General features: G+C 35.7%; 1 annotated feature.

Moving 5' to 3' along the window:
• Window positions 13,499-13,578: an enhancer, noted in NCBI's record as "active region_21772". NCBI's record gives its function as "activates an Ori minimal core promoter by ATAC-STARR-seq in GM12878 lymphoblastoid cells {active_cell/tissue: GM12878}" and the evidence as "EXISTENCE:reporter gene assay evidence [ECO:0000049][PMID:35858748]".

Genomic DNA, 25,137 nt, shown 5'->3' with positions numbered 1-25,137 from the left:
AAAAAATCTGATCACATGGATGTAGAGAGTCGAAAGATAGATAACAGAGACTGGGAGATATGGAAATGGGGAGGTGTAAGGATGAGGAGAAGTGAGTTGAAGGGTACAAACATATAGTAAGAGAAGGAATAAATGTAGCATTTGATGGCACGGTAGGATGACTATACTTAACAAAAATATATACTGTACTTGGGTGATGCACACCTTAAATACCCTGACTTGATCACTATACATTTTGTCCATGTAACAAACTTCTAACATACCCCTATACATTCGCACAAGTAAAAAAAAATTAAAATAGAACTACCGTATGATCCAGTAATCCTACTACTGGCTATATATCCAAAGGAAATACAATCAGCATGTGGAAGAGATATCTGCGCTCCCATGTTCACTGCAGCATTGTTCACAATAGCCAATATATGGAAGCAACCTAAGTGTTAATCAATAGATGAATGAATTAAGATAATGTGGTATATTTACACAATGGAGTATTATTCAGCCTTAAAAAACAAAATTTTGTCAAGATTTTGTCAAAACTCACCTGATAGACGACTAATAGCCTTAAAAAAGGAAATTTTTGTCAAAATTTTAAATTTTATTTGCAACAAGTGGATGAACCTAGAGGACATTATGTTAAGTGAAATAAGCAAGGCACAGGAAGACAAATATCATATGGTTTCAGTTATATTAAAATCTAAAAACGTTGAATTCATAGCAATAGAGAGTAGGATGGTAGTTACCAGGCTGGGGCAGGGAGTGGGGCTGGGGAGATATTGGTAAAAGGAAAGAAAATTTCAGGAGTAAATTCAAGAGATCTATTGTACAACATGGTGACTCTAATTAATAAAAATGTGTTATATTCTTGAAAATTGCTAAGAGGATACATTTTAAGTGTTCTCACCACAAATAAGTATGTGAGGTGATGTATATGTTTATTAGCTCAATTTGGCCTTTCCAAAATGAAATATGAAATATACATATTTCAAGGTATCATGTCATGCATGATAAATGTATACAACATTTATTTCTCAACTAAAGAGTAAATCTGAAAAAAAGAATACTTCAGGAGAAAAAGAATCTTGTCACAAGTTCAGAGTTATAATTCTTTTTAAGGTATTTAGTGCTTGCTCAACATGAAAACAAATTAACGACATAGGATTTTGTTTTATTTTCTGTTTATGAGGACAGCAGCAAAAGAGTGGATGCCACTTATTGGGCAGCCACTGAGCACTGGGAATTTTGGCATTATTCATCCATGTAGACTTCCAACAAGTCCACAGAATTGTGATTCTTGTTTTTCAGATGACGAAACTAGGACACAGAGAGGTTAAGCTTCCTGCCCAAGGTCATGTAGCTAATAAGAGCTGGCCTCCCTCTCTACAAAGGTTATATATCTTTTCTTATACTACATGGGATTTTAAAGAAGTACTATTTTTCCATTTTAAAATGATTTTTCAATGGCTTAACAAAAAATATGCTTTCAAGCTATTATTAGAAATGACCTATGGAATTTATTTAGCATGCAATTAGAATAAGCCACAAAATACATCCATTCGTGATTTGAAAAGCAGTGGTTAGGTTTGGAGTAGTAATTTAGGTTCTAGTAGGATCACCTCTTCAGTATTGGAAGGGCCTTTTAATCCCCTCATCAAATTTTCAAGTGTAAGGATTCCCTTTGCCACATCCACTAGGAGAACTACTTGAGCTCATATAGTGATAGATATGCACTACTTTAGGTAGAACTTTCCATTTTTGAACAGCTTGAATGATTGGTAATTCTACACATTTATGTATTCTTTGCCGTTGGCATATTACTCAGCTTTTTAACACATTTTGTTTCATTCATGAATGCTTCTGTTTATTTTGAGTCCATGACTGTCCTATTTACTTTCACTCATAGGAGCAATGAAGATTTTTTTCTATACGAATATGGTACATGGGGAAGAGTTTTTGGGTTAATGTTTCTAATTTAATATTATGTATTATCTTTTTGCTGTTTGTTTTGGTGAACATATTTCTTGCAGATTTGACAATAATGAGTATTTGCTTTTCTTTTTTATGAAGTCCCTTCTATAAGATCGAGCTTTGCTAATGCAGCTCTGTATTTGCACTGCACCCTTAAAACCAGCATCTTGGAAGGCAAGAATATTTCTGACCCATAGGAATAGCTTGCCATCTTAGCAACAGCAGATCTGTTTGTGAATAGATAATTACAAAATGAAACCTTGGCAAACAAGAATGTTCCTTTAGTTTTAGGAATGGAAATTTTGACTTTTGATTTACTTATTAATTCCAATATGGAAAAACACAAAAAGGAATTTTATGTTACATACCTTCAATTGCACTTCTTGTGCTCTTTAGATACATGTGGCCTGAAGTTTTGATGATTGGAAAAAACAAGCATTGCTGTTTTTTTTCCTTCCAATTTGGAAAGGTATCATATATTTTTAACTTGAGACCCCTTAGTATAAATAAAATGCATCCTTGCTTTTTACCACATTCTTCATTCTAATATATAAGGTGCTAGTGTGCAGAAGGGAATATGAAATCAGGTATGATTCCAAAAATGCATATGCAAGACACATGGATAAAATCATAAAATTACACTAGAACCAATTCTAACTCCTACATGACTAGAATCTATGGAACATGGTTATGTGTCTCCTGGTTAAGTATCAACCACCCTCTGGATGTAGTTTTAGTGAAGTTTATATCCCTATAATTGTTGTTTGATAGGTAGATTTTACCTTTTGTGGATAAGTATGCTCTGTGATCAGAATTAAAGGTGTGTTCATCATTACTTTTATCTGATTTTTCACTTTGTCAAAGAAGATTAGAATAGCATGTGGAACTTGATTCAACTGTGATATTTTGATATATTAAGAAATATATATTTGGGTTTTATCCCTAGTTTCTGGCATAGAACTTCTAAAAGCCTTGGAATTTCCCTAGTGATGGGAGTAAGAGTAGTTTCTTATTCATAATAAGCTCCTGTCACATACCTGAGTTTATGCTAATAAGACGACCTGTGGTGGGTCCCTAGATAGCTTCAGGATGGGAGCTGGTTGCCAGACGAAACAACCATATGATTAAAGGGTTGGAACTTTGAGCCCAGCCCCTGACCCCTGGAGAGAGGAGAAAGGCTGGAGATTGAATTAATCACAAATGGTTAATAACTCAGTCAATCTCATGTATTCATAGGGGAATCTCATGTATTCATAGGGGAATCTCCATAAAACTCCTAAACAATGGTATTTAAGGAGATTCTGGCTTAGAGCTGTTCAAGTAAATTATTGAGCCTGAGGAGGGGGTCATGGAAACTCTTGATTTATAGTCCATTGAACAGAACTATAGGAGACTCAGGACTTGCATTGGTATCTGAAGTGAGGGTAGTCTTGTGGGACTGAGTAGGGTCTGTATTAACTCTGGTTAGTTAGTGCTAAAAATAAATGGAATCATTGGATACCCAGTTGGTGTCTGGAGAGTTAGAGAATTAGTTGTTGGTATGGGAAAAACAAAACAAAACAAAACTATGCATTTGATGTCAGAAATATGGGTAGAAACAGACCATGGTATCAATAATACTGATTTCTTCCAAGAATCATCCCCTTAAAGGGTTTACAAATGGATAAAATTGATATTTTCCTAATTATTCTCATTTAGAGATATTGTTTCAAACTCACAGATATTCATTTCCTCTTTAAGATAAATTAGCAATGAGTGAACTCTTTCTCAGTTTTCTAGCTCTTCCTCTAATAATCATCTTCACTCCAAAATGGTAGCTAGTGGCCTGTCTATGAGATACATTTTTAAAAATATGATTGGATTTAAAATACATTGCCTATTTTATGTGCTGGATTTATGTAATAACCACCATTTATTGAGTGCTATAGACTGGTCACTGCGTTTTAATCTTCAATTCTGAGTTAAGTAGCATTATCCCCATTTTGCAACTGAAAAGACTGATGATTGGAGTGGTTAAGTAACCTGCCTAGTGTCATTAGTAAGTAAGAGGGATTTTCTGAAGAGGTGGAAGTGAATATTGATGGGAAAGGGAAAGGTGATCAGGCAGATGCTATGGTCTGAACGTATCTCCCAAGATTTGTATGTTGAAACTTAACTTGCCATGGTGGAGCCCTTAGGGATGGGATGAGTGCCTTTATAAAAGAGGTACCAGGGAACTGTCACCCTCACTTTTTGCTCTTCTGCCTTAGGTGAGGACATGGCAAGAAGGACCTCACCAGACACCAAATGCCAACACCATAATTTTGGACTTCCCAACTTCTAGAACTGTAGAAAATACTGCCCAGTCTCACGTATTTTGTTAAAGAAACACAAACAGACTGAGACAACAAATGAGTAGAAGTTAGTGTGAAGGGCAGTAAGAAGAACTGGCCATATTTAGTCTGAGGTATATTGAGTTGAGAACATGTTACTTATCTTCAGTTAACTAAATTTTGGGGCTTATAGTTCTTCTTGCGTAATTCCAAAGGGAAGAAAAATGGTGAGTGTATTTTTGCTTGCATATAATGATATAGAGGAAAATATACTTCTAGGAAGCAGAATTCTATACTCATTTTCACCCCATCCATAAGATGCCCACATATAAGTTTTCCGAAGAAGGACTTATTAATTGTAATTGTCATAAGATGACTGGATAGGATCATCGCAGACAACTTTTTCTCTAAAAGTGTTTAAATAGACGCCAGACTAATTGCAAATAATGTTATAGAAAATATTAGATTTAGAGGTTTGGATAAATAGACCTTAGATTCTATGAAAGTAAGGATATAGAGCGTGTTTTAAAACAATAATAGTTAAAAAAAAAATGGTTTCTGAGCTGGGTGCCGTGGCTCACCCTTGTAATCCCAACACTTTGGGAGGCTGAGACAGGTGGATCACAAAGTCAGGAGTTCGAGACAAGCCTGGCCAACATGGTGAAACCCTGTCTCTACTAAAAATACAAAAATTAGCTGGGCATGGTGGCATGCACCTGTAGTACCAGCTACTAGAGAGGCTGAGGCAGGAGAATCACTTGAACCCGGGAGGTGAAGGTTGCAGTGAGCTGAGATCATGCCACTGAACACCAGCCTGAGTGACAGAGTGAGACTCCATCTCAAAAAAAAAAAAGTTTCTGTATTTATGTCCTATAAAATCTTACTGTGCTATCTATAACTTTCTAAGTAATATCCATTTTTTTCCGATGTGTACCAAACCTTTGTGAAGCAGTGGAATGTTTATGAAGCAGTATGATAAGCAGCTCTCCAGGCTGACATAGCTAATGGTTATTTATTGTAAATATACAATTGTATTGTACAAAACATATAGCCAGTCAGAATAATCAAACCTCTTTTTTATTCCTTGTCCCATTTTTGTCTCCTAAATTATCTAAGAGTTCCGGCTAAAGAAGACTTTCAGTGGTGCATTATTCAGGGAACTATCTAGGCCATACTTTCAGTAAGAAGTTGAAAACAAAAGAAGTTGATAACAAACTTATTTTCTTCTGTTGTGGGTTTTTAGTACATATTGATCACACTATAATATGAGATTTGAAGTTCTTTCAAATGTTTTCACGTCCCAAGGCATTTGTGAGAATAAACTTTTTTAATAGTCTCTTTTTAAAATCAGAAAAAGGCTAGTAATGAAGTGCAATCAGAAGGATGTTTGTATTCTTTCTTTAAACCCACATGACTTTATGTCACTGGCTACCTGTAGAATGACACCAGCCTCTTAGCACATTTGCAAGTGATTAAACAACAAGGCTGATTCAAAAGACACTCATAAAATTCTGACCATTTACAGCCATGCATATCTGCTGGATGGATAACAAACCAACAAACTTTATAAGCGACTATCCAAATTGGATCTCTTTTGTTATTTTTAGAACAAGTGTTAACCAAGTATTTCTTTTGAAATGTTGAAGCATTTCCTTAGTTTAATTTTTACACATTGAATTTCTGATTGGCTTTGAAAGAAGTCTATATAATGAGGAAGGCAATTCTCAAAATAGTCAGAAGCTATCTTGAGGAGACTTGATGGAAACAAGTTACCAAGTTTGACCTAAAACTGGAGCATAAGTGTTAAACTGCCCCCCAAATATACTGGAGGACAGAATGCTCAGGGAGATGCTAGAAGGATAAATAAAGAAAACAGAAAAAAATGGATGGCTGTGGCCTCATTTTTCTACTCTGACAGACAAGCTTAAGTCTGCTAATTGAGGAAAGTTGGACAAGGGAAGATGATGTTAGGGAGAGAACACTAATTTTGTGTCTTGTTGGGAAAGACACAATCTTTGATTATACATTCTTCACCTTTCTAAATGCTGTGCCTTCTGATTTGATGTTTTGGAACCTCTTACTAAGCAGTGAGACTGAGTTTTTGAGCACTTGAAGACATTTTCCTGCTTCTGATAACCAGTGAACAAATACGGTAATCAAACAATAGACACATAGACATGTACTCAGTAAGGTAAAGAGCTTGGTACCTTGGTACTATGGGTCAATATAATGGATCACGATAAGACAGAATGTTTCATATTAAGGAGAATATATAGCCTCAGAGGAGATGGAATATGTGTGCACCAGAGTTTCTCTGTGTCCTAATGTAATTTTTTACCACATAGGTCATGGCTGATTACTCTACTAAATTGGTAACAAAATAATAGGTTTCATTGGGGTTTTATCTTAAAATGTGACATCTGAAAGTATAAAATATTTATGAAAGTTAGGCAGTATTTATAAGTTTGTGGAATTCTTAGAAAAAAGAATAAATAAAATATGAAGTCCCTTTTTCTATTAAATTATATTATGTCATTTTGATGTATTTTCACATTTGACTTTTGTAACATGAAAAATTTTATAAATAAAAATACTTGACAGTTCTATCAAACTAAGGGTAGAGTGCATATTTCAATTAAGTATGACTGCAAGACTACAATCTCTTAAATAACACTACAACCAAAACTCCACGGTAATTCTAAAGACAACTAATCTAAGTCCTAGGTGGAAATAGACAGACACTTGAATATGTCTTAAAAATGCAATTTTATAAAGGTGGATTAAATATGCCAAAGATTTTCCAGCATTACAACAAAAGGGCCATTTAGGCAGCTTTATAATCTTATGTGTGGATGTTCATGTTTATTCCTCGAATTCTTATTAACCTTGTAAATAAATATTCATATTGTGCCTACCGTCTTGCAGCAAAGGACAAGAGAAGACATGATTGTGGTCTCTGGACACTACAAGTCTTTTATACTTTTTATATCCCACAAAAAGTATCCATCAGCCATTATCATGCTGTATTTGTATATTGAGTTCACAAAAGATACAGCTTAGCCAAAATGTACTCTATTTTAGGCCTGTCTAGTTGTCTAAAGCATTGTGTTTCTCTAGGAAGGTATGTCACTTATTTAAGAACTTTATCCTGTTGGGAGCATCAAGATATTAATTATCCTTATTGCTTCTACTCCTCTTATACTATTTTTATCAAACATTTGGATTGATAGCTATCATATCAGTCCAACTGAACTGCTGCAAGTAGCAGAAAATATTCAATATGGTAGCATTTGCAGGAGATTATTCTTAGAGAATTTGGGGTATGGAATTTATTTATACTAATTTTCATCGGAACATATAGTTCTTTAGATATTGTTTAATTTTAGTTATGTACCCCTCAAACACACACACAAAACAAAGCAAATACTCATACAACATACATAGGAAAGCTAAATCCAGGTTTTCTTTGAATAATGAACAGGTTATAAATCAAATAAACAGTCTTCCCATTATGCACTTTGGATAACAAAATAGTAATGATGAGGTAAACTCTTAATGAATGATGAATATATGGGCAGTTCCTATTATGTATACATATATCAGATGAATTTATCGATCCCAGGAGACAGTTTTTATTTTTTTAATAAAATAAGTTTTAATGTAATAAATTATTATTTATTGAAAAGTTATGTGCCAGGCACCACACAAATGATGCACATGAATTAACTCATCATCATAACTTTGAGAAAATAATGGTATGTACTATTTTTAAAATATATATTATATTATAAAATTGACATTTGGAAAGGGAATCATTTAGATTAGCTCAGAGAAGGAGAATCAGAGTGATAGAGACTCGTGGACTTATTACAGGGGTTAGACCTTACCCATTTATGGGAGCCAGTAAAACAGTCCGTGTAAGGCTGTTGCTTTTGTATTTGATGTTGGGCCTGCTGTCAGCAGAGAAGGCAATAAGATAGGAAAGATGGACATAAAGTGGTGATTGGCAAGGACAGACTTGACTTTGAGGACACACTGGAGACCATGGGGACAGACTGGAATCAATATCTGTCTGCCCTGAACCTCTGTGATGCAGGTAATCTGCAGTAGAAGCAGGCATCCTTCACTACATAGCTGCATGTGCACCTAACTCAGGTTTGACTTGCTGAAGTAGGAGCCTGATGACTTGGAGACCTGGCTGCTGTCCTGCACCAAAAGATGAACCAGCAGGTCAGTAACAGTGTTCATGGGCTGCAGCAGTATTTGCCCTGTATCAAAGTTTACAGCATAAAAGTGACTACCACTTTGATTCTGCATTCAAATCTTGTAAAAATTTCCCCTTAACTGACACTAATCTAGACCATACCAGGGGAAGAATTCTTGGAAACACATTTTCAGTTTAGATAAATAGACACCCTATATCTCTATAGAAAGGTTAAGCAACTTAGCTAGATCACACATTTAATAAGCCATAGGGCCAGTGTAGTGCATAGTCAGGTTGAATACATGGGATGAGTGGAAGCATCAAATGTCCTAATGTCTTGAGGATGGGTTGTTTGGGGCTTGGAAATGAATTTCTAGGATATCCTACAAAGATTCCAGAAGTGTGGTATCACACATCTGAGATGGGAAGTGAGGAATGTGCCAGAAACCACTGTGCTAGAAGACATGAACTCTTACTGCTTATTAATTGTGCAAAGTGAAATAATTTATTCATTTCTTAACTAAATACATTGAAAAACTATGTGTCAGGCACTGCAATAAGTATCAGAAATAAAATTGTAAACAAAAAAGACAAATAAATAAATAAACAAGCCGTAGGGCCAGGATTCACACCCAGTTCTGCCTAACACCAAAGTCTTAGATATCATTAACCACAGTTCAAGGGGCCTATTGCCTTTTACTTTGCAGGTCAAGAGAATATATTCAATAAGTAATTCAGCAAATATTTGAGAACTTTTTTAGTGTTGAACACTGTGGGTAAACACAAAGAACAAAAAGACACAGACCCTTGCTTTCCAGAGCTTATTTTAAGAGAAAATTTGGAAGAGCTAGAAAATAGAAGTGGAAAAAGGGAGTCAGCAGAAAGCTGATCAGAGAAAAACAAGATCAGAGGGCGGGAAGAGAGGGTGCAGATATAAAGGAAAAGCTTTGTCCTGGTTGTGGTGGGTGCACAATGGTTAACTCTATGCTATCCTTGCTCACAAGGAACTTTCTGTCTAGGTGAGTGGCTTATACTTTAGAGGGGAAGAAGGAGCATTAATGATTGGTCCCATCTGGGATTCTTCTCTTAGAAATTGACCCGTGTTCCTCTGTGGCAGTCTTACTATAAATTATGAGTTCTTACAGTGTTTTCTTCTAAAGATGGAGTCTTAGTCTATTAGAGCTGCTGTAACAAAAATGTCATAAATTGTATAGATTATAAATAACAGAATCTTATTTCTCATGTCCTGGAGGCTGGGAAGGGCAAGATCAAAGTATTGGTAGATTGGTGTCTGGTGAGTGCCAATTTCCACGTTCATAGAAGGCACCGTCTCACTGTATCCTCCCATGGTGGAAAAGGAGCTAGCTAGCTTTCCGAGGTCCCATCAATAAAGGCATTCATCCCATTCATGAGGACTTTGCCCCCATGACCTAATTACCTCCCAAAGGCCCCACCTCCTAATGCCCCCATGACCTAATTACCTCCCAAAGGCCCCACCTCCTAATGTCATCACCTTGGGGATTAGGATTTTGCCATACAAATTTTGTGGGGAGACAAACATTCAGACCATATCAGAGCCCTCAAGCCTAGAACACACACACTGATGCAGTTCTTAGGGAGGTCAGTACTTCATATATCCCAGCATTTTCTGTGAAAATAATAAATCATGGTCTCTGGAGTAAATCCTTTCTAAAGTGTTACAACTATGTAGGAGTCTCAGTGTTCACATTATTATTCAGCAGAAACACCAAACGAATGTATAATAAATGTAGCACTTATTCAGTTTACATATATGTATTAGAAATAAGCCTGTTTTAAAAAATTATAATCAAAATGTAGTTTGACCTTATTTAAATATTTTCTATCTTTTTACTTATATATTAACAGATATTTTCCATTTTAATTTCCAGTGCTCTGGGGTATATGATGAATGTCCAATATAGCACAAAGCAGTAAATTTCTCTTTATTGTTGTTATTTATTGTTGAGACATGCTTCATTAAACAGTCCCTGTCTTGTTACTGAAACAACTTAGTATGGTTTTGCACAACTAATGGTTTTCATCAGCATTCATCATTGAATTGTTTTCCACCGAAGAAATTGGGTTGGTGTTTTAAATGTTGTCTATGTTAGAATGGGCAATTATATTACCAAAAAGGTAGATGGGTAAGTTTTAGGAAGAAGCTAATTTAAATCAGTCAATAAAATGGTCTCTGTAGAGAGTTGCATGATACTTATAGAAATCTACTGCTTATGCTTTTATTTAGGAGGTTAAATACCTATTATTTTCTCTGCAACTTGTCAATCAGAAAGAAATACAACATTAGTTTTGGCTTGCAATGATTAGAATGGGCATTTTTTTCTTTTGTGAAGGAAAGTGTAATGAGCTAAGATCCAGGAGTATTATAGTCTAGCTGAGTTATCTATGACCCTCCACAGCCTCATCAATAAAATGACAGAAGGGCTGACATCTTTTCTCTAAATTTCCTTCAAATTCTGATGCTTTATAGTTATGAAACTATTTATTTTTACCACAAAATATCCCTTTCATATGTTAAAAAGGAATGAAGACACACAGAGAATTAGCTTACCAAAAAGCATTAGGAGGGAGTCTCCTATAATGGAAGGAGAACCCAGCTGGGAATGTGAAGACTAGAGTTCCAGTTTTAGCTCTGTCAATAGCTAGCTTTGTGACCTATTCAGTCTTCCATAAAGTTATTTTCAGTTCTAAGATTCTGTGGGCTCAACCATGAAGTAAAATTCAGCGTAAAGGCATATAACTCTACCTGATATTATTAGGAAATAAACTTTGGACGTAGGAAGATGTAGGGAACCTTGGGTGTGATGAATTTTGTTTTTTTCCTTAGCATCTACCTTGTTAGGTAGGTGTTAAAAACTACATACATAGCTTTCTAGATTACTTTTGACATGACTTTGTTGAGGTTTGAACAGGTGTAGGATCATTACCCTGACCCCGTAAATCCTCTCTGAGTTTGGAACTGGTTGAGAAATTGTCAAGAGTCAGATAGTTCAGGATTAAATGATCAGCTATTAACATTGGATTTGTGTGTGAGCTTAGATGCTTCCTAAGTAGTGGAAAATTGAATTGTTTCTGTTTTTCCTTAAGCTTATGCTTTGGGATAATCCATCAGAACAACGTAAAGAAGGCCAACTTAGATCGTTACTGCCTCATCTCTACTGAACCCTAGTAGAGGAGACAGGGGGATAAGGTGCTCCAAGAAGGAAGTTTGAGCCTTGACCCACGTATATTTACTACATTAAGTTTAGGATCTAGAAGAGAAGGCCAGCGGCAATGAGAGAAGAGGGGAATTCACTACAAACAATTGGGATTTGTGGTCTGGAAGAAGTGTGGATCTGAATACAGACCTCTGTAAAGATATTGTTAGTTCACCCTTTCTTGGAGGCCTCAAAATATTTGTCACCAGGGCCTGTTGCCCTCATAAAAGACCCCTATTCTCTACATATCTTAGTGACTATAAAGGGGCTGAGCCATACTTCCAGTGTCTTGTTTTAATCTCCCCAATTACCTGTGTCTCTCCTCCTCATTTAAAAAACACAGAAGATATGTGAGGACTCTAGAGGAAGTGTTATTCCAGAAGCCCCTTCTTGGAAACATGATACTAGGACATTGGCAGTTTTCCCTAACAGACTTTCTTATCTTTCTGCTTGTGGCAGCAAATATTTATTAGAAATACATTTTTTCCTATTAACATTAAAGCTGAATATACTCAAGGCAAGCTGATGTCCATAAACAATTATGCATCAGTTAGCCAGAAATTTTTTTTCTGACTCTTGGGTGTTAATCTGGGGAAAACATATTAATTCTTGTTTAAGGATTCTATAGAAGTGTTCTGGTCTTCTAAAAGGTCCTTGTAAGAATGAGTTAGTATAAGGTTTGCTCATGAAGCTCAAAGGGCTGTTTAGAAATCTTCAGATCATAGTGAGATTTGTTTCTCTGGGGGAACTAACCTAATACACTGCTAATCACTGTTGCCCTAGTTTCTCCTTTACAAAAGTTTTGGACTGTCATATTTGGTTTTATATTAGATCATGCTAGATTAGCTTTCTTGCATGTAGAAGAAATCCTGGGAGCTTTGATGATGATGGCAAAAATACAGATGCCTTGGTGTAGCAATTGTGTAAATATGGTGTAGCCTAGAGAAAAAGGACAGCTCTCATCCTCCCAAATGTCCCTTTACCTGTCTTTGTGAATATACTTTATAAATAATCTCCCTCATTCTCCTTCTATATACATCAGAAAAGATAGGATTAGAATTGTGTCAGAGCTGGGCAAGAATACTAAGGGATGTTGGTGACTAGAAGACCAGGAAGACAATGAAATAGAAAGGTATCTAGAAATCTAAAGGCTAGAAATAAGGTAAAATCTAAAATAAAACTAGGATTTGTGCTAGCAAAGCAGAGCTGACCACGAATTCAATTACCAAAATCTGTGGCTGTTACTTTTTGACGACACTGAAAATCTACACAAGTAGTCTTGCAGTGCATCAATTAAATGCAAAGAAAAACCGTAAAGCTAAGTGCTATTCCAGATGTGTGGAGGATGGAGAAGACAAAGCCCTGTTTTTATTACAATCTTGAGCTGGCTTGCCTGGGTTAGAATCTTGGCTTCTCATGTTATCTTGGATAAATTGTTTAAAGTATTATATCTGTGTTTTAGTTTCATCATCTCTAAAATGAGGTTAAAAATAGTACCTACTCTTCTAAGAATGTATATTTTGGCTGGGGTATGGTAAAGTTAGTGCAGCCGCAAGAGAAAACAAGAACAAAGCTTAGAAAGGAATTTATTCTACTCACAGGGCCCAATGAGGTAGTCACCACACACCATGCAGGACCACAGGGGGAAAGCACCAGTGTCAGTCAAGAGCCAGAAGACAGGAACAAGGGGCAAGTCTAGGCCAGAGCCTTTCTTGAGGTTTCTGTGCGAAAAGGAAGGCAGAGCAGAGTAAACAGTTTAGGATTGGCCAGTTTGAATGATTCCAGAGGACTTTGGGCTATAAGGGTGATCTCTAGTTGCCTGGTAACTGGGAAGATTTAGGGCAAGGGAAATATTGGTTTGTTGTGTGAGAGTTAGATAAGGAGTTTGGGGCTGTAGATTCAGGATTGGTTGGTTTGTACGTGAGAGCTGTGCTCTCAGCTAAGACCTTCGCCGACTCTCAGAATTAGCCAGCTCTAGGGAAGATAGTCTCTTTCTGGGTCTGTAAGGCCACCAGATTCTAGAGCATCAAGAACTATAGAAATTAAGAAAATGTAGTTTAATAAAGCTGGCCCTGTTTTGAATGGATGCCTCACAGACGAATACAGAATCCAAGAAATCACAGCATACCTACCTTATTGTGAGGTTTAATGATTTAACACATACATAGTTGAATGACCCAGACTGGTTGCATGTCCCCAGTCTAACTGCATGAGAGGTTGGGGCATAGAGAGGAGCACATAGAATACTTGAGGAACACGGCTATCTGTGCTGTGCAGATGGGGCTCAGAACAACTATGCTTTGTAGAGCATATAGGAGAGTTTGGAAGGCCATTGGGATACTTTAAACAATTGGCTGTGGTGAGTGCTATATTGCACAGAATAATTAAGTTGAAACAATATATATATCTACATGATTTTCAAGCAGCTAATTTTATAAAATGTGCTTGTAAGTATATAGAGCATCAAATGGACTAAAAGTTATATACAGAATTTTAAACATTTTTACTGGTTTGATTGGCCTTTTGTTGATATCCAGGATGAAAAACAGGGCACAAAAGAAAATGCACTAATAAGGGATGTTTTATTTTACATCACAATAGAGATCAGTAGTTACTTTGGTTGAGACATGTTGGAGACAGCCATGCTGTCTGTAGGAGGGTAATGTGAGCCTTTAGGAAGCCATGGATGTGACACTATGAAGGACAAATTTTGCCATCGCTGCCACCACGCCTGTGAAACTGGGTTAAATGGTGGTGGTGGGGAATGGATGGGTTTTGGCCTGGAATCTATAAGACCTGAGTATGGATCTGTCTTTGCCACTTCTTAACTATGTGACTTTGAGCCATTCCCTATGTAAGATGGAGACAACAATGATTTGCCAACCTGGTGGTAGGGTTTCAGGAGATGTTTATGAAAGTATTTCCAGAGAGAGCTCATTTCCACTCTCCTAGTTCTGTTTCTATCATAATGGCTGCCCCACAGGTATCCCAAATTTCATATAAACTTCACTAGGAAAGTAGATATTTCACTCTTGCAATTCTTATGTTGTTTCATTGTATATGTAAATGGATAAAAGTTTAGGCTTTGCATTGTCTGACTTTACTTCTCTAAGAGTTAGTTTACTCATCCTTAAAATGATGATGATAATAGCATCAACCTAATGGGTAGTTACGATAATTAAATGCAGTTACACAAGTAGGACACTCAGTTCCTGACACATAACAATCACTCAATAAATGGTTGCTGTTATTAGTTTCATTTCATTACACATGAAGGACTTTGATCTACACTTCTGAGATTTAGATGCAAAATAATCTATGACTCATTAGCAGAATCAGTGAGAAAATAAGCAGAATGAGTGACTAATGTTAAGCAGAAACTATTGGTCAAAGGAACTGCTATGAAAGGACAAATGAATCTTCTATATCTTCAGCAAGCCTCTACTATAGTTCAGGGTGTTTCATAGAGAAACTATACCACTAATAAAAAGCTATTGACGTTTTGTAATTCTAAAAAAAAAATGCCACCAAATTCCTTACATATCTTGATTCACAATGAACTTTTATTGTTACATTGGCAACTTAAAGTAAAAATAAAAGAGCTATTGTTTCACTTAGATGGAAATTATTTAAGAAAAAAATACTCTGATGACTGTTCAGTTATATAACTAACAAGCATCTATTCATTGGGCACTGAAGTAGGTATCTCAGGAGATAAAATGTCAATAATAACTAATATTTGCCATGAAAAAATGTATTCAAAGCAATGAGACCAGGCTGGTACTGAGAGCCCCAAAACGTTAATTCTTCCTTATTCCTCCTGAGGAAATTTTAAGTGATTTGGAGGGATAAGACATATGAAAAATAAGGCTTAATACAAGAAACAGTTAAAAGAAAACAAAAACAAACCCTATCACTTGAGTAGAGCCTGTAGGGAATGGCATAGGATTTCCACGGTTCATCCTCAAGAAAAGCTTCTAGGGGTGGTGGGATTTTAATGTTCCTGGGAGCAGTAGAAATTGTGAGATAATGCCTGGTAATTACCATAAACTTGAAGCCAAATAGCTGGGAAAACATGTTCCAGGACATTGCAGATCAAATCATATTTCTATAAAAAGAATCTGCTGGATGTTCAGCTGACAGAATATCAACCATAAAAGGATAGTTTAATGGATTTCAATCATTATCTAAACACAAAATCACAGAGCCAAGTTTATGTGCATTGTTAATCATATGCTGTGAATCCGGTAAAAGAAAATGTAATACAAGCATCAGATGAGATGTTTTTTCTTTTCTGATTTTTAAATGGTAACATTTTATTTTTGAGAACCATTAAAAAAGAGTGATTGCTTGGAGCAGCCATCTAAGGGAAGTCCATTCTCTTTGTAAGGAAACAAAATGGTGCTCCAGTGGAAGAGCTCTGGAAACAGTGAGTGGTTCATAGAGCTACTGAATTCCTTGCTTTTGCTAATACTCAAATTTTAAAAGAAAACATGTCCCAATCCAAGGATTCTTGTGATATATTTGTGTTGGTGTGTGTGTGTGTGTGTGTGTGTGTGTGTGTGTCTAAATTTTAAATTTATATTTTAAACCAGCAGTCACTTTTCCCATTTTAAATTATACAATCACTTAGTTGTTTCCTGAACTATTTTAAATCAACAAGTTTTCTTTGAAAATATTTTTTTAAAAAATAGATCTTGCAGACTTAAGAAAATAAGAGTATTCCTTAAGGTAGATGGTGTAAAATAAATAAAATCAGTAGATTTCTAACACGTTCTTGAATAGAAAACACAAACGGAAATTATCCCATTTACATTTATAACTAAGCAACATTTAATATCTAGAAATAGTCTTAAGAAATGTAAAATGAACAAGATATGTAAAATTATAACATTTTATATGATAATAAAAGATTTGAGAACATTACAAAACATTTGATTAAGTGGGGAGACACAATTTAGAAAAAGTAGGCTTTATTTTTTAAAAGAGGTCAATTCTGTTTGAATTTATTCTATTTGCATTGTAATATCAATCAAAATTCTCATTTGCTGTGGGAAGGTGGTGAGGAGCTTGATAAAATGATTTCAAATTTTACTTTGAAGAATAAACATGCAAGAACAGCTAGAAGAATTCTGAAAAACAAAAATATGAAGAATGAGCCTTGCCTTGTCAGGTGTTAAGATGTACCACAAAAACACTGAAGTTAAAACAATGTGGAACTGGCTAGGAAATAGATGGTTGAGAAACAAAACATCTAACCTCAGATCCAACTATGTATAGGGATATTTAGTATATAATAAAGTTAGCATTTTGAATCAGTAGGGAAAAATGCATTAATGAATAAATGCTTATCCAATATGTAATAATTTGGGGAAACACATCATTCCTACAGTGTTCTTTACATAATTTGTACTTGTTTTAAAAGCCTGTAAAACTAACAGCAGAAAATATAATTAGATTTTAAATGTAATATTAGGGTGGGAAGGCCTTTGTAAGCATAACACAAAAAAACTGAAACAATAAAAAACAAGATTGACAAACGTAAATATAAAAATTACATCTATTCACAAGGTCAGGGGCTCGAGACCATCCTGGCCAAAATGGTGAAGCCCTGTGTCTACTAAAATACATAAAATTAGCCGGGCGTGGTGGTGCATGCCTGTAGTCCCAGCTACTCTGGAGGCTGAGGCAGGGGAATTGCTTGAACCCGGGAGGCGGAGGTTGCAGTGAGCTGAGATGTGCAACTGCACTCCAGCCTGGTGACAGAGTAAGACTCCTGTCTCAAAAAATAAAATAAAATAAAATAAATAAAATAAAATAAAATAAAATAAAATGTACTTCTATATCAGATAAACAGTCCAAGTGAGGTTGAATGACAGATGACCAGTAGAAAAAAGCATTTTTCATGTATGTGATACAAAGAGGCCTATTATTCTTAATATACAAAAATCTCTTACAAATCAATAAGAGTTTACATCTCAATAAAAAATGTACAGCAAAAATACAGCATACACCAAAAGCGCTTTGTTCAAGATAATTAATGAGACACCAAGACCTGAAGAGGAGGAGAACTAATATTGCACTTAAGAGATAAAATATAAATCAGAATTGTTGGTAGTGGAATAATGAAATATTTTTGTTATGGTGAAAAGTGTTTCAAACTTTGCTACATTGTTTACAGAAATACCTGTGTTAGATACTGAATGTGATTCTAATCTTCACTAAAGATCTTTTAAAATTAAACTTTTTTTTTAACTGACAAACAGGGCATTTTTAGTTCATATAACTGAAAAGTCCAGAGAATATACTACTTTCAGACACAATTGAATCCAGGGTCACAAACTTTGTCATTAAGACTAAAGTCTTTGCATCTTTTGGTTTTGCTTTCCTTTGTACTACATTCTCTGACTGGCACATTTGATGTGGTGGGCCTGTTGGTTGGAGCTTTTACTTAACAATACTTAGCAACTTCAGCAAAAAGGGCTTATCCTTTCTTATAGTTTAGTAAAACCCATAGGTTTGAGTATACTGCACCAACTTAAATCATATGACTATTCATGAACCAATCACTATGGTCAAAAAGATAGACTATGCTCATTGATCGGGTCTGAATTACAGGTCCACCTACTAAGTCCAAGGTTGGCTTTGAACATCTGAACCACATGGACTGAAAATAAGGAAAAGTGGCTGCAAGAAACATTAGGGTGTTGTTATAAAAAGAGGAAATCAATGCTGGGCAGAAGGTTTTTGATTTTCAGATAATTGTAGACTTGTATGCAGTTATAAGAAATAATACAGAGTGATCCTTTTACCTAATTTTTCCCCAATGATAAAATCTTATAAAATGATAGTACCATATCACAACCAAGATATTGACATTGATACAGTTAAGATACAAACAGTTTCCTAATCACAAGATTCTTTATGTTGCCCTTTTAAAGCCATATCCACTTCCTTTCTATCCTTATGCCATCCTAAACCTCTGGAAGCCACTAATCTGTTCTACAGTTTCAAAATTTTGTCATTACGAAAGTATTATTATATAAATAGAATCACACAGTTTGTAATTGTCATTTGGGAAATGGCTTTTTAAATTCAGTATGATTCTTTGGAGAGTCATCTAGGTTGCTGAGTGTACCAATAGTTTGTTCTTTTTATTGTTGAGTGGTATTCTATGGTATAGATGTACTGCAGTTTAACTATTTACCTGCTGCAAAACATCTGGGTTGCTTCCATTTTTTGGCTATTACTCATAAAGCTACTATAATCATTGGTATACAGTCTTCTGTATAAGCATACATTTTCATTTCTCTGGGATAAATGTCAAAGAGTAAAATAAAAGTGGATTTAAGTGACGGTTATTCCATCACAAAGAACTTCTCCAAAAATTTTTTAGACTTCTTCAATAAAGATAATTCCCCTTTGACTTTAGCTGAAGGGCTGATTACAAAGATAGAGTTAAGCAACCAAAGAAAAAGTATTTGTAGAGTTTCTGAAATAGTGTGGATGAGCAAACAGTTGAATGGATAATCCCTAGCTTTAATTCCCTTAATCATTCCTTAAGTTGATATGCTAAAGCAATTTCAAGCAAAATTCCATGAAACATAAAGACTTCCTTGGAAGCTTTGAGGTTTGACAAATGCCAGCTGGACCATCTCAGAACTTTCGATGATACCCTTTAAAGTAATAGCTATGTGAATGAGTTCGAAATTCTTTTTATTATATGCTTCTTCTAAGTGCAATAATTTAAAAAATGATAAAAAAAATCTCCTAGGAATACTTTTAGGTAGAGCTATGATTTAAACTTAGTTTTATATTTAAAAAATCATTTTGCCCTCCTTTGGTTTACTTGTAGGAAAGAATGATTTTTTATTTTAGGATTGAGAATCATTGCAGTCTGATAATAAATGTTTTTGAGAAGTAATTTATTATAGTAAATTATGAGTCTTACTTTCCTGCAGTTGAATCATACCAATACAGAATTTTAAAACACGTCTTTATTTGAGCAGAACACATTCCTAAAGAGACCCAGGTAAGCTGACTGACAAACCGTATGTAGTTTGCATCCACTTCCATAAAACAATTTTATTATAGGATCTCATACGCTTCAAAAACAGAATAGCAAGTTGTAACAATGTCAGGGAACCTAAATGATACCCACAGCAGTATTATTATAATTTAATATTGGTTGAGCATCAGCAATAAGTAGACATTTTATAAAACACAGCAGGAGAGCTGGTTCCTGTCCTTTAGACAACCATCTTGTATATCAAACTAGTATTGAAGTCTTTTGTTTATGTATAAAAACAAAGCACAAGAAATTGTCATTTGGGAACATATAGAATCATTAAGTAAAAACTCAACATTTAAATCAACTGTAGCATTGTGCCTTACATATAAGTAGAAAGCGATTAATTTTTGACTGATTTATCTGATTATGGACCACTTATTTAAACTTAACATTTTATCAGCCAGTTCATATCTTTCATTTTATAAAGTGTAATAAATACTATATGCAAAGCTAGGTAGAAAAAAGATATGAAGATAGGGAAGTGTATGATGTTTGGGGCAATGATGAATGTCCAATGGGACTGCATTGCAGGCATGAAGCAGAAGTTATTGAATAGGCTGCGTTGGCTGCAGGTAATAAAGAACATGACTAACAGTGGCATTTTCATTTTAAATTATTTATCTAATGCAGGCAACCTTTTAAAAATTATACTTTAAGTTGTGGGATACATGTGCAGAACGTGCAGGTTTGTTACATAGGTATACACGTGCCTTGGTGGTTTGTGCACCCATCAACCCATCATCTACATTAGGTATTTCTGCTAATGCTATCCCTCCCCTACCCCTCTACCCACTGACAGGCCCCAGTTTGTGATATTCCCCTCCCTGTGTCCATGTGTTCTCATTGTTCAACTGCCACTTATGAGTGAGAACATGCCATGTTTGGTTTTCTGTTCTTGTATTAGTTTCCTGAGAATGATGGTTTCCAGTTTCATCCATGTCCCTGCAAAGGACATGAACTCATTCTTTTTTATGGCTGCATAGTATTCCATGGTGTATATGTGCCACATTTTCTTAATCCAGTCTATCATTGATGGGCATTTGGGTTGGTTGCAAGTTTTTGCTATTGTAAATAGTGCTGCAATAAACATACGTGTGCATGTCTTTATAGTAGAATGATTTATAATCCTTTGAGTATATACCCAGTAATGGGATTGTTGGGTCAAATGGCATTTCTGGTTCTAGATCCTTGAGGAGTTGCCACACTGTCTTCCACAATGGTTGAACTAATTTACACACCCACCAACAGTGTAAATGCGTTCCTATTTCTCCACATCCTCTCCAGCATCTGTTGTTTACTGACTTTTTAATGATTGCCATTCTAACTGGTGTAAGATGGTATCTCATTGTGGTTTTAATTTGCATTTCTCTAATGACCAGTGATGATGAGCTTTTCTTCATATGTTTGTTGGCCACATAAATGTTTTCTTTTGAGAAGACATTTATGTTCATATCCTTCGCCCATTTTTTGATGGGGTTGTTTATTTCTTGTAAATTTATTTAAATTCTTTGTAGATTCTGGATATTAGCCCTTTGTCAGACGGGTAGATTGCAAACATTTTCTCCCATTGCGTAGGTTGCCTGTACACTCCGATGCTAGTTTCTTTTGCTGTGCAGAAGCTGTTTAGTTTAATTAGATCCCATTTGTCACTTTTGGCTTTTGTTGCCATTGCTTTTGGTGTTTTAGTCATGAAGCCTTTGCCCATGCCTATGTCCTGAATGGTATTGCCTAGTTTTTCTTCTAGGGTTTTTATGGTTTTAGGTCTTACATTTAAGTCTTTAATCCATTTTTCAGTTTTCTGCATATGGCTAGCCAGTTTTCCCAACACCATTTATTAGATAGGAAATCCTTTCCCCATTGCTTGTTTTTGTCAGGAATGTTGAAGATCAGATGGTTGTACATGTGTGGCATTATTTCTGAGGCCTCTATCCTGTCCTATTGGTCTATATATCTGTTTTGGTACCAGTACCATGCTGTTTTGGTTACTGTAGCTTTGTAGTATAGTTTGAAGTCAGGTAGCGTGATGCCTCCTGCTTTGTTCTTTTTGCTTAGGATTGTCTCGGCTATATGGGCTGTTTTTTGTTCTATATGAAATTTAAAGTAGTTTTTTCTAATTCTTTGAAGAAAGTCAATGGTAGGTTGACAGGGATAGCATAGAATCTATAAATTACTTTGGTGAGTATGGCAATTTTCACAATGTTGATTTTTCCTATCCATGAGCATGGAATGTTTTTCCATTTGTTTGTGTCCTCTCTTATTTCCTTGAGGAGTGGTTTGTAGTTCTCCTTGAAGAGGTCCTTCACGTCCCTTGTAAGTTGTATTCCTAGGTATTTTATTCTCTTTGTAGTAATTGTGAATGAAGTTCATTCATAATTTGGCTCTATTTTTGTCTATTATTGGTATAAAGGAATGCTTGTAATTTTTGTACATTGATTTTGTATCTGAAACTTTACTGAAGTTGCTTATCAGCTTAAGGAGATTTTGGGCTGAGATGATGGGGTTTTCTAAATATACAATCATGTCATCTGTAAACAGAGGCAATTTGACTTCCTCTCTTCCTATTTGAATACACTTTATTTCTTTCTCTTGCCTGATTGCGTAGCCAGAACTTCCAATACTGTGTTGAATAGGAGTGGGGAGAGAGGGCTTCCAGTTTTTGCCCATTCAATATGATATTGGCTGTGGGTTAGTCATAAATAGCTCTTATTATTTTGATGTATGTTCCATCAATACCTAGTTTATTGAGAGTTTTTAGCATGAAGGGGTGTTGTATTTTGTTGAAGACCTTTTCTGCATCCATTGAGATAATCATGTGTTTTTTGTCATTGGTTCTGTTTATGTGATGGATTATGTTTATTGATTTGCAGATGTTGAACCAGCCTTGCATCCCAGGGATGAAGCCAACTTGATCATGGTGGATAAGCTTTGTGATGGGCTGCTGGATTCAGTTTGCCAGTATTTTATTGAGGATTTTTACATTGACATTCTTCAGGAATATTGGCCTGAAATTTTCTTTTTTGTTGTTGTTGTGTCTCTGCCAGGTTTTGGTATCAGGATGATGCTGGCATCATAAAATGAGTTAGGGAGGAGTCCCTCTTTTTCTGTTGACTGGAATAGTTTCAGAAGGAATAGTACCAGCTCTTCTGTGTACCTCTGGTAGAATTCGGCTGTGAATCTGTCTGGTCCTGGACTTTTTTTGGTTGGTAGGCTATTAATTACTGCTTCCATTTCAGAACTTGTTATTGGTCTATTCAGGGATTGGACTTCTTCCTTGTTTAGTCTTGGTAGGGTGTATGTATCCAGGAATTTATCCATTTCTTCTAGATTTTCTAGTCTATTTGCGTGGAGGTTTTTATAGTATTCTCTGATGGTAGTTTGCATTTTTGTGGGATCAGTGGTGATATCCCCTTTATCATTTTTATCGTGTCTATTTGATTCTTCTCTCCTTTCTTCTTTACTAGTCTGGCAACTGGTCTATTTTGTTGATCTTTTGAAAAAACCAGCTCCTGTATTCATTGATTTTTTGAAGGGCTTTTTATGTCTCTATCTCCTTCAGTTCTGCTCTAATCTTAGTTATTTCTTGTCTTCTGCTAGTTTTTTAGTTTGCTTGCTCTTGCTTCTCTAGTTCTTTTAATTGTGATGTTAGGGTGCCAATTTTAGATCTTTTCTGTTTTCTCCTGTGGGCATTTAGTGCTATACATTTCCCACTAAACACTGCTTTAGCTCTGTCCCAGAGATTCTGGTACATTGTATGTTTGTTCTCATTGGTTTCAAAGAGCTCAATTATTTAAGCCTTAATTTTGTTATTTACTCAGTAGTCATTCAGAAACAGGTTGTTCAGCTTCCATGTAGTCATGTGGTTTGAGTGAGTTTCTTAATCATGAGTTCTAATTTGATTTCACTGTGGTCTGAGAGACTGTTATGATTTCCATTCTTTTGCGTTTGCTGAAGAGTGTTTTACTTCCAATTATGTGGTCAATTTTAGAATAAGTGTGATGTGGTGCTGAGAAGAATGTATATTCTTTTGATTTGGGGTGGAGAGTTCTGTAGATGTCTATTAGGTCCATTTGGTCTAGAGCTGAATTGAAGTCCTGAATATCCTTGTTACTTTTTTGTCTCATTGATTTGTCTAATATTGACAGTGGGGTGTTAAAGTTTCTCATTATTATTGTGTGGGAGTCTAAGTCTCTTTGTAGGTCTCTAAGATCTTATTATATGAGTCTGGGTGCTCCTTTTTTGTCATTTTTTATCTTTGTTGGTTTAAAGTCTGTTTTATCAGAGACTAGGATGGCAACCCCTGCTTTTTTTTTCTTTCCATTTACTTGCTAAATATTCCTCCATTCCTTTATTTGCATGTGAGATGGGTCTCCTGAATACAACACACTGATGGTTCTTGACTCTTTATCCAGTTTGCCAGTCTGTGTCTTGGGGCATTTAGCCCGTTTACATTTAAGGTTAATATTGTTATGTGTGAATTGGATCCTATCATTATGATGCTAGCTGGCTATTTTGCCCATTAGTTGCTGCAGTTTCTTCACAATGTCAATGGTCTTTACAATTTGTTATGTTTTTGCAGTGGCTGGTACCGGTTGCTCCTTTCCATGTTTAGTGCTTTCTTCAGGATCTCCTGTAAGGCAGGCCTGGTGGTGACAAAATCTCTCAGCATTTGCTTGTCTGTAAAGGATTTTATTTCTCCTTCACTTATGAAGCTTAGTTTGGCTGGATATGAAATTCTGGGTTGAAAATTCTTTTCTTTAAGAGTGTTGAATATTGGCCCCTACTTACTTCTGGCTTGTAGGGTTTCTGCAGAGAGATCCACTGTTAGTCTGATGGGCTTCCCTTTGTGGGTAACCTGACCTTTCTCTCTGGCTGCCCTTAACATTTTTCCCTTCATTTCAACCTTGGTGAATCTGATGATTGTGTGTCTTGGGGTTGCTCTTATTGAGTAATATCTTAGTGGTGTTCTCTGTATTTCCTGAATTTGAATGTTGGCCTGCCTTGCTAGGTTGGGGAAGTTCTCCTGGATGATATCCTGAAGAGTATTTTCCAACTTGGTTTCATTCTCCCCATCACTTTCATGTACACCAATCAAATATAGGTTTGGTCTTTTCACATAGTCCATATTTTCTTGGAGGCTTTGTTCATTCCTTTTCATTCTTTATTCTCTAATCTTGTCTTCATGCTTTATTTTATTAAGGTGATCTTCAATCTCTGAAATCCTTTCTTCTGCTTGATCAATTTGGCTATTGATATTTGTGTATGCTTCACAAAGTTCTTGTGCTGTGTTTTTCAGCTCCATCAGGTCATTTATGTTCCTCTTTAAACTGGTTATTCTAGTTAGCAATT

The sequence above is a fragment of the Homo sapiens genome, chromosome 4 (assembly GCF_000001405.40).
Source record: "Homo sapiens chromosome 4, GRCh38.p14 Primary Assembly".
Taxonomy (NCBI): domain Eukaryota; kingdom Metazoa; phylum Chordata; class Mammalia; order Primates; family Hominidae; genus Homo; species Homo sapiens.
Note: the sequence above shows the minus strand (reverse complement) of the source record. Positions and strands in the feature narration are given on the sequence as shown.